General features: G+C 37.6%; 1 protein-coding gene across 2 annotated transcripts in view, besides 3 other annotated features; it reads right to left on the bottom strand.

The window, feature by feature from the left end:
• TES (testin LIM domain protein) overlaps nucleotides 1-10,350 on the bottom strand; it is a 48,245-nt gene that overhangs the window by 23,714 nt on the left and 14,181 nt on the right. For both annotated transcript variants that reach the window (NM_015641.4, NM_152829.3), the window contains exon 2: nucleotides 451-536. In NM_015641.4, coding sequence (NP_056456.1) covers nucleotides 451-536 — 86 coding nt within the window. The remainder of the gene's footprint in view (nucleotides 1-450; nucleotides 537-10,350) is intronic.
• Nucleotides 4,235-4,314: an enhancer, noted in NCBI's record as "active region_26529". NCBI's record gives its function as "activates an Ori minimal core promoter by ATAC-STARR-seq in GM12878 lymphoblastoid cells {active_cell/tissue: GM12878}" and the evidence as "EXISTENCE:reporter gene assay evidence [ECO:0000049][PMID:35858748]".
• Nucleotides 4,385-4,454: an enhancer, noted in NCBI's record as "active region_26528". NCBI's record gives its function as "activates an Ori minimal core promoter by ATAC-STARR-seq in GM12878 lymphoblastoid cells {active_cell/tissue: GM12878}" and the evidence as "EXISTENCE:reporter gene assay evidence [ECO:0000049][PMID:35858748]".
• Nucleotides 5,399-5,518: an enhancer, noted in NCBI's record as "active region_26527". NCBI's record gives its function as "activates an Ori minimal core promoter by ATAC-STARR-seq in GM12878 lymphoblastoid cells {active_cell/tissue: GM12878}" and the evidence as "EXISTENCE:reporter gene assay evidence [ECO:0000049][PMID:35858748]".

The raw sequence follows: 10,350 nt of genomic DNA, 5'->3' as shown, positions 1-10,350 counted from the left end.
CAGGAGGCTAAGGCAAGAGAATCGCTTGAACCAGGAAGCGGAGGTTGCAGTGAGCTGAGATCACACCACTGCACTCCAGTCTAGGTGACAGAATGAGACTTCGTCTCAAAAAAAAAGTAACAAATAAATTATTAAACAGTCCTGGAGGATTACCACAAACTTATTTACCACCAGAAAGATGATATATTCAGTATTTCAGGCTCGAAGGAAATCTTAAAGACAGCAAGCAAATCCAACAACTCTAAATAGTTATTATGGTCCAATTCACTAAGTCAAACTTAATGACAGTAAGACAGAACACTTTTTATGTTGTATTCATTTCTCAGAAAAGACAGTAACAGGTCTGCAACTTAGCAACCATGCTGGAGAACTCGAAGATATCTCCACTGTCTGAGGAAGTATTGCAAAAAGTATAAATTACTAATGTGGTTGCAGTTTTCAAAACAATACCTCCAGAAGTGCAGTTCGAATCCTTCACATTTTTCTTTGCATTTTAAACAAGGGGCTCCAAATCCTTGCTCGTGACCTAAGCCCATCTGTTAAAAAGAAAACATCATGAATCTGTTATTAGATTCTTTACAAATCTAAAAATTCAATAAATTGCACTTTTAATTCCACTTACCACTTGTGTTGAGATAACTTTCAAACAAATCTTATATTTAGTCAATGATGATACCCAGGTATGTACATGGCAGTTCCAAGTACATACATAACATATTTTATATTCTGATTGCTTTTTATCATGAAAAGAAAAGCATCAGAATATAACTGTATAGAAAACTACAAATATTGCAAATAACAAAAACTCATGAATTTATGTCTTTGGCCACTACTTGCCCCATAGTACAGCCCCATAGCACAATAGGTACAACACTCAGAAAACTATACCTTAAAAAGCAAGTCTCATCCTGAATAACATATTTTACATCAAACAAGGAATTAAAGATTTTAGGAATTACAACTGAAATATTATTTTTATTATGATAAATATTATTATAATAGCTACAATATACACTTATTGAATGCCAGTGCTATGGCTTTAATGTCCGTGCTCCTCCAAAATTCATGTTGCAACTTAATCCCCAATGTACCAATATTAAGAAGCTGGGCCTTTATGAAATGATTAGGCAGTTAGCAATGAGGGCTCCACCCTCATTGATGGGATTAGCCCCTGAGGGAGTGAGTTCCTCTCTTCCATCTCTTCTGAACCTTCCTCCATGTGAAGATGCAGCAACAAGGTGCCATCTTGGAAGCAGAAAGCAAGCCCACACTAGACACTGAGTCTGCCAGTGCCTTGATTTTGAACTTCCCAGCCTCCAGAACTTGACAAATAAATTTCTATTATTTATAAATTACCCAGTCTAAGGTATTTTGTTATGGCAGCAGGAATAGACTAAGACACAAGGAATAGAGGTAAGTACTTTACTTATATCTCATTAAAATCTTACAGAACTATATAAAATGCTTACAAAGTAGGCAATATGATTTGCCATTTTTGAAATGTTTTTGCTGAAACTCAGAGACTATGAAACTTGCTTAAGATCAAAATGTTAATAAATGGTAGAGATTTGAGTTCAAGTCTTTCTGACTCCAAGGCCTGTGCTCTTCTGCCTGAAGTTGTAGGGAGGCAAGGAGTGGAGAGCTGTATTATCACCCTTGCTATAGCAAACCCTTTTCTTCTTTACCATATTAAACAATAGTCTTTGAGAACTTGCTGAGACATGGCCTAATAAGTGGAAGGAGTGGGGTGCAGATGGCAGAAGGACACAAGGTTGTAATTAAGCTCTTTTACCCAACGACTGATATTGGAAAAAAAAGAGTAGCCAGCCTTACATCAGTACAGTGGCAAACCACCAGTAATCAGATTACTCTGTGTTTTAAATATCACATCAGTGACCATGAGGAATTAGTTACTGGTTAGTGCCTAGAGTAGCAGTTCAAGCTGGACAAGTAATAGGTATTTTTCAATGGCCCTCTTTTGTAACTTTACCAAGCTGTGTTTGTCACTATGCAATCAAAACCACATTGTAACTGGTTCCTTGAAAGATCAGTCTGACATGTCCTGAAGTTTAAGTGAAGCCTTTCCTTTTGTCCTAAAGAAAATGACCACATCCTTTTTCCATAATTAAGGCCATATTCAAACCCAACTGGTCCACACAGTTGCTTAGGAAAACCCACAATACTTTTAAGTTAGACCATATAAAGTATACTCTCTAAAGAATAAACAACTGTCCAGCATTAGCTAAGCTTTATCATCTTTGCCATGTCCATATTACCAATTTTCAAAAGAAATGAAAGTCTTTAAATTGTATATTTAGTGTCAACACTAAGCTTTTTTTTAAAGCAATTAAATTGTTTCCTTGTCACTGATGATCACAGTTCACACAGTATGGAAATAATGTAGGTTAAACAAAAGACAGAGGGAAACTTTTCTGGTCTTGTGTAATAAGCATAGTTACATGTTTTCTCCATTACAATATCCATAGTAAAATGAAAAGCAAATCCAAAAAAGTTTTCTTTTTCAGGCCCTTTCTAATTTTCCATTACAGAAGAGTTAGTTCTGAATGTGCCTGGAGTATGGATATGATTCATACTATGTTCATGCATCTCCTGCTAAATAAACTCTAATCCCAAATGAAAATTTTGATTACATTATTAAGGCTTAATCACATAGCTTAGCTTAAATCAGAGGCTTTTAAACTCTCTTTTATATAATTCACAACATGGAATAAATTTTACCTCATGACAAAGAACTTGCACATACACATACAAACTTACATGTGTGTATAAAATCCTGATATTTGTGGACAGATAATATCTAGAAATATGCTTCTGCCTCTAAATTAAATGGCCACTTAAATTCTTGCATGCCTTCAGATTGGAATTGCCTGGTCTGAACAACACTGGGCTTATAAAAGACTGCAAACATCCTGGAACAATACCATCTCATTCACTATTTCTGAATCCAACTTGAAAGTTCAGCAAATGTAACTAGAACCTCCATGAGTCAGCAGTTTTTACACTAAGGCTTTGGAGTAGCTCGCTACTGACTTACAAAGTCAACTTTGCAAAGGGGCAAGTTGTTTTCTCCTACCAACTTTTTATCTTTGTAAATCAAAAATAAAATTATAAACCCATGAAGCATCTGAATGGACCCCACCTCTTGGCCAAGGTCATTCCAAAGTGAGCCTGAAAAACTAGTTCAGGCCATGATAGGAAATGGGGAGCTGGGGGTGGGTGGGCGCTGCTTCACAGCTGACCAGCATTAGCAGAAACACAGAGACCTAAGACTGACAGAACAGACTCTGATAAGAAACATTGACAATCTATTCTCTCTGACACCTGCTACCAGGAGGCTTCATCTACATGATAAAACCTTGGTCCTTACAAGCCCCCTTATCATAACCCAGACATTCCTTTTTTTGGATTTCAGGTCTTTAGATAATAAGGCTTTCAACTAATCACCAATCAGAAAATCTGTGAATCTGCCCATGACCTGGAAGGACCGCCCCCCACCTCCAGTGGTCCTGTCTTTCCAGACTGAAGCAATGTACATCTTTCATGTATTGACGGATGTCTGTAATATGTATAAAACCAAGTTGTAGCCTGACCACCTTGGGCACATGTTCTCAGAGTCTCCTCAGGGCTGTGTCATAGGCCATTGATCACTCATATTTGGCTCAGAATAAGATCTTCAAATACTTTTACAGAGTTTGACACTTTTCATCAATATATTCTTAAAATAGCTATCATTTTATTTATTAGAATTACTAGAGCTGGTGGTATTTCATGAACTGCTGCTCTTTTAAAGTCTCCCACATATTCTTATTCTGGACAGGACTAGGCATCTCCCTCATGTAAGAGATCAGGAAAATAGAATCCAGAGAGGAGGGATAATTTGCTCCTGGTTGCACAGCTACTCAATAGCAAACCAGACCTAAAACTCAGCATCTGGCTCCTGCTCTACTGTTCTTTTGGGGCAGAGGACTAGCGTGTCAAATGGGAGCTCTTGTCTTCCAAAGAGTCACTAGCTAATTTCTGCCCCAAAGAAAAGAACTTTCTTTTCCAGAAACACTCTTGCACCATCTCTAAGTGTAGATGACTTTCTGAGAGCTTTAAAAAGGAAGACAAGATAAATAAGGAAGGCTGGGGAAGCTTCGCTGAAGGAGAGGTGCATGAATTACAATGGAAAGGCTGAGCAGTATCTAATTTGGCTCAGAGAAGTGCATTCAGGGCAGAGGAAACACCATACACAAGGCCTGTGGCAGAAGAGGGCAAAGGAAGAGCCAAAAAATTGTAAAGCACTTTCAGAGTGACAGGGCTGGCCTTGTAGCAGGCGGAGTACTTTGTTTTGTTTTCCTTTTCATTTTCCCAAGGAAGAAACTAAACCTCTTGAAGCATTCAATGCCATGTCTTAGGCTACCAGCTTAACAGAGGATGACATCCTCAGAGACAGGAGAGACTGGTAAAGAGGAAAGCCACAGGGCAACAGGGGAGGGTGAGGAGCAAGAGCACCTCTCAAGCTCTGCTAGCAGAAGCTCAGGAAGCCCTCACAGGGACCAGGAGACCAGGCCTTGGGAAAAGCAGTAACTTGAGAAATTGGCTCTGTAGGCCGCTCTGGAAAACCCAGAAAGTATTGTTCCAGGGTTCTTTTGCCCTTGGGACCTGCCTGGAAGGCCAACTTAATCTCTTTATGGACTCTTTCCAGTTAGATTTGTGACTGCCTGGAAAAAGTGCCCCTCTACCTTTCCAAACACAAACACTTTCATTTTCCCCACATGCTCAGACCTAAGTGTGAGGGAACTTTTAAACATCACAGACAGAGAGCAAGTAAGTGAAAGAGAGTGGAATGGGTCACGGCAATATGATACACTTTCTCCTACTATAACCCAATGGAAGCAGTCCTAATTAAAAACAAACACACACACCAAACACAAACAAAAATGACACCAAGTTTTCAAAATCACTTTTAGCAGCTAGAGAAATTAGAGTTTCAGACTGGCAATAAACTTGTTTTCCTGAGAACATTTCAGTAAGAAATTTATTTTATAGCTATAAGTATATAGCTACAAAACTTAAATCTCATTGATACCAGCACTGAAGATCTCTGACTTATGCCACATTATTGGGTGAGAACTTTTTCCATATTTTTATCCTCTTTATCAACCCTCTGTTAGGAAACAAAAACAATGCCTTTCCAAGAAAGAAGATACGTGATTCACACTCTAGCATTTTCCTTGTTTAGGATGTGCCTAGTTTCAGATTGAATTATAATTTAGAATGCAGTTGTTAAATCCAATTTATATTATAAAATTACACAGTAGCAGACATACCTCTACCAGTGTGAGGCAAATTTCTTCCAACTGAGGCATCTAATCATCTGCTATTCTCCCCTTCATAAGTCAAATGCATATCAGATGAAGGGAAGCATATGGACTCTAATCTGTGGTAAAAGGAGTTTCACAGCCAGAACTGCCCCAAGTACAGTTTCTTAGGGCCTATTTTGGGCAGAGTGTCACAAGAACTGAGGTTCCTCAACTCCTCTTGGTTTCAGTTCAAGGATTTGGAACCCCATCTACTCTAAGGGCTTCTCTAATTTCTCTCCATTATTCACTTTGTATTCAGGATTCCCTGAAGTCCAGGACCCAGAATTCTTCTCATCTCTTCTCTTTACCCTCAGCATAGACCACACCTTCTCCTTAGTGTTCTTCTCCTTTCCTGAAGAGCCAAGGCTATGACTATTCTTGGACATCCAAATCTTGTAGGTTAGTTTCTGCCTACAAGATGTCTACAGATGTCTGGGCTGGAGAACTCTTGGTGAGGGATATAAATAGGGAAGGTGTTATTTAATGATGCCCAGGGTGCGAGAGAGAGTGGCAGGGAGGAAGGTGAGCCCAGAGAGGCTTAGCTCCTCAGCTAAGGCGAACTAGCTGTTTAGAAAGTGAAATCTAGACCCTTGGACAAATATAACCAAGATAGGTGTACCTGTATGTCATATCTATGTTGTGAGAATTACCAAATATTAAGGAAATGATTATATATATATATATATATATATATATATATATATAGTTATAGATACTAGAGAGCTAACGGGGAACTTTGAAAATGTAGAAAGATCCCTGGAGGAGAGTCAGGAAACCTGTGTTCTGGTCACAGAGTGTCACTGGCGTGTTCAGGGATTTTGAAAGTGATCTTTCTTCTTTAGGCTTCATCTAGATAATGAGGAAATTAAACTAGATTGGCTCCAAGATACCTTTTAATTTTATTGCAAATCATGTGTCAGATTAACTGTGTCTTAGTTTGGTTATTATTCAGCATGGTCATCTGCTCAAAGTTTAATCACTAAATAGAAAATAATTATTTGAAAAAGCTAATATATTAATGACTCTCAGAAGTCAGAATCACTTGTAACTCTGGTGGAGTAGTTTTATAAAGTATGCATAGGAAACAAAAGACTTAAGCTGTGAATGATAAAACTCAGTCCTGTTGCACGTAATTATTTTAACATAATTTCAACAGTAAATGTGATACGGTATTCCCTGCAGACTCAACACTTAGTGCCTAAAAACACATGTTTTTCATAAGCGCACAAGTCTCAAAGCTGTCTACTTCATATAATTTTAGTAACACATTCTGGCCAGCATCAATAAAAGGATATGACAGAATAATTTTTCTTCTTCAGCGTCCAAGAAAACAGGTCCTTTGGATTGACTATATTGGGAGAAATTACAGTCAGGCTTTGGGACTATCTATCAAGGTCCTAAGAAAAAAATAAAAGTGACTACATAATTTTACTGTGAAACACGAATCATAGACAAATAGGTCTTAAGTATCTTTAACTGCAGGCTCCATAAACTGAATTTACATTCCCATGATCTGTGCCTCCAAACACCCTTTTATCCCCTGCTTATTTTAGAATAAGAAATGGGAATGGAATCAATGTATCCATATTCATAATTTTCAGCAGTCGAATAGGTTGGCAACATTTCAGGTGACCCTTCTGACCCAGAAAAAGGTACTGCATGTCAGATACTTAAAAAAAAACAAAAAAAAAAAAACAAAAAAAAGACTATGGAACATCTGGTATTTCAAACATGGTCTGAGTTGATCTGGAGACAATTTGGGTCTGGAAGATATTATGCAGTATTCAGGGTGAGATCATCTGATTCATGCTGTTTTCATAACCAAATTTCCCTCTGGAGTAAAGAATCCTATGTGGTTACTAAACAAGCATTACTAAGACTTCTTTAATAATATTGGAATGAAGGTAGATCATATGAAATATACATCTCTCTCTCCCACTCCCGCTTTCTCAGTGTGTGTGTGCATGCATGTTTATCCACCTATCATATATACACACACATATGCATGTATATATACACACACATATATTCATATTACACTCCTAAAGAAGCATTTTAGATTTTGTTCATCCAGATAAATATTCTGGACAAAGGAACTACATATCTAAATAATTCCTCTTAGCAAATGGCTCTCTTAGAAATCCAGTGTGATCTGTGAAGTCCCCCACCCAATCAATATATTTTTATTAAGATCTGACACAAGATTTAAAATTTGAACGTTTTAGTTCATTGCCTGTTTCCAAATCTCTAACAAGATTTGCATTACCAAAAAAGTGTAGGTTGGCCAGACACGGTGGCTCATGCCTGTAATCCCAGCAATTTGGGAGGCTGAGGCGGGTGGATCATGAGGTCAAGAGTTCAAGACCAGCCTGGCCAAGATGGTGAAACCCCGTTTCTACTAAAAAAAAAAAATACAAAAAATAGCCGGGCGCGGTGATAGATGCCTGTAATCCCAGCTACTCGGGAGGCTGAGGCAGGAGAATCGCTTGAACTCAGGGGACAGAGGTTGCAGTGAGCTGAGATCACGCCATGCACTCCAGCCTGGGTGACAGAGTGAGACTCCATCTCCAATAAATAAATAAATAAATAAATAAATAAATAAATAAATAAATAAAATAAAAAGTGTAGGTTACACAGAAAACCAAACTTAAATATAAAAATAGTTGCACATTTTATTAGTTTGCCAACTTTCTTAGGTAAGAATACAAAGAACTAGTGTGATTAAGAGCTACAATTAGTCATTCTTAATAAATCTGCTACATTTCTCTTTCTTTGCTAATAAAAACAAAAACTTCCCATCTCTCACTTACTCAAGGCTGAAATACATGAGAAGAAGACTGAAGACAAAGTTGTCACCACCCACTTGGTCACCCAACCTGGGGCCCAGAGGCCTCCTTGTCCTTGTCTAGCCATGCTTACGATGCTCCAAATTCTAGTGTCTCTTTTCTAAAAACCACACAGTCTGCTCCCTCATCTGCACTCGAGTGTTCATGTTCAAACTCACATCATATCATCCTGAGACCACACTCTCCTAACTGATCATTTTGTATGACGTTGTATTGCTATTCTCAAAATTATTTTAATAAACCTAAAGATAATCATAACACTCCCCTTGCTAGATGGTTTTAATAAGTTCAATGAATTTCACTTTTCTTAGCATGCAAAGAAGATCCTTTAAAGCCTGGCGCCACCTGCCTTCCTCACACCACTCCCCTCCAGCCGCTCTCTGTTTTAAGCGGAGCTTTTCACTTTGCTTGAACCTCTGCTCCTCTTCTTCTCCATCTGCCAAAGTCGTTGTCTCTACTGGGCCCACAGACTCAATTCTAATGTCAGTAACTCTGTGATACCTTTCTTTAACTATCCCCTTGGCACAAATTGTGTTATTAAGTCCTTCCTTACTATATTATGATTGTGTGCACATCAATTTACCCCCATTAGATTGTGAGCTTCTTGTTCATATTTGAACTCCTAGTACCTGCCAGTGTCTGAGATTTACAATAGTGCTAGAAAGTTTTATTTATTTAATTGTTTTAATTATCAAACAATCTTTATCATAACATATCTTTATCCCAAGGAACTTCCACTGCCTTTTTACACACACACAAAAAGACACTGGAAGGGGTGGTGATAATAAAAGCAGCAGCTGATTTTTATTGAGCACTTACACTGCCATGCAGGGTTCTAAGTATTTTACATGGATTATCTCATTTTAACCTCATAACAATCTTATGAGAGTCTGAGATACTATTACTACCCACATTTTTATCCACATGAAGAAACTGGGACAGAGCTGTGACTGCTCCTAACCAATAAATAGTGCCTCAAGATAGGTCATAAAATGGAACGCCCTGATAAAGAAGCCCTATTTCCTAAATCAGTTTTAAAAATAGAATGTAATGGAATTTTTAACTGAAGACCAAATATTATAGCTCAAGAATAGAATAATCAGTTAAGGGTCTTTAGTTGTCAACATGGCTCATCCATAAGGAAACAGGAATAAAACTATTTACTGCAGATTCTAGGATTCATTTCCACATCCCCTCACCTTTTCAGCTTAGATGTATAAAGCCAGAAGCCCTGTATGCATCTCTATCACAAAATCCACTGTAAGCCAAATGGTCAGAAATCTTTTTTGTTCACAGACAGCAGTAAATAATCACATAGACTATTATGTTAGGAATGAAAAGGAAACAAGTGTTCTTTCTGCCTAAATATTTTGTAATAAAATATATTCTGGAGGTAGTACGTCAAGTTTTCTGGGACTTTAACAAATTAAAGTGGATGATTCCTACTCAATCTATCCCTACATTTCTTAAGGCAGTAACAGTATTAAGTTAATGACAAAGGTATTGTCATCAAGACAATTTCTCTACTTGAGTTTGAGATGTAATCAAGTTGTAGCTGATTACTCAAAACATCTATACCTCAATACATACAGTAACATATTTGAAGAAGAGCAGAAATAGATCCTGCTACATTCTAGGAAACAATAATAAATTTTAGTTTTGGCAGGATATGTTGAAGTGTTTTTAACTATACTTTAAAAAATGAGCACTGAGGGTTGTGATGGTGGAAGTGTTAGTAAAAACACCTCAACCACCGTTTGTTAAAATGTTACTACCTGCCAGCTAAAATACATATAACCATCACATTTAATCCCCAACAACCTATTGGAAAAGTATTATCATCCCTATTTCATAAAAAGGAAATTGAGACTTGGAGAAATTAACTTGCCTAAGACTACCCAACTAGCAAGTGGCAGAAGTGAGATTTGCATCTTGGCATTTCTCACTCAAACTCTATGCACTCACTACAAAGTCACTGTTTTTTTTTCCCTCCAAACTGAAACTAAAAAGGTAAATAGTAATGTAAAGGGTAATATTCCTCTTCTGTAACTTCTCTAGAGTAATCAATTTTGATCTTAAAGACTGCTCATTGTTTGCTAGGCAGGAATTCCTCCATCCTAGGCAAAACCTGGGACTTA

This window comes from Homo sapiens, chromosome 7, assembly GCF_000001405.40.
Source record: "Homo sapiens chromosome 7, GRCh38.p14 Primary Assembly".
NCBI classification, from domain to species: Eukaryota; Metazoa; Chordata; class Mammalia; order Primates; family Hominidae; genus Homo; species Homo sapiens.
This window is presented reverse-complemented; position numbering and strand designations above follow the sequence as displayed.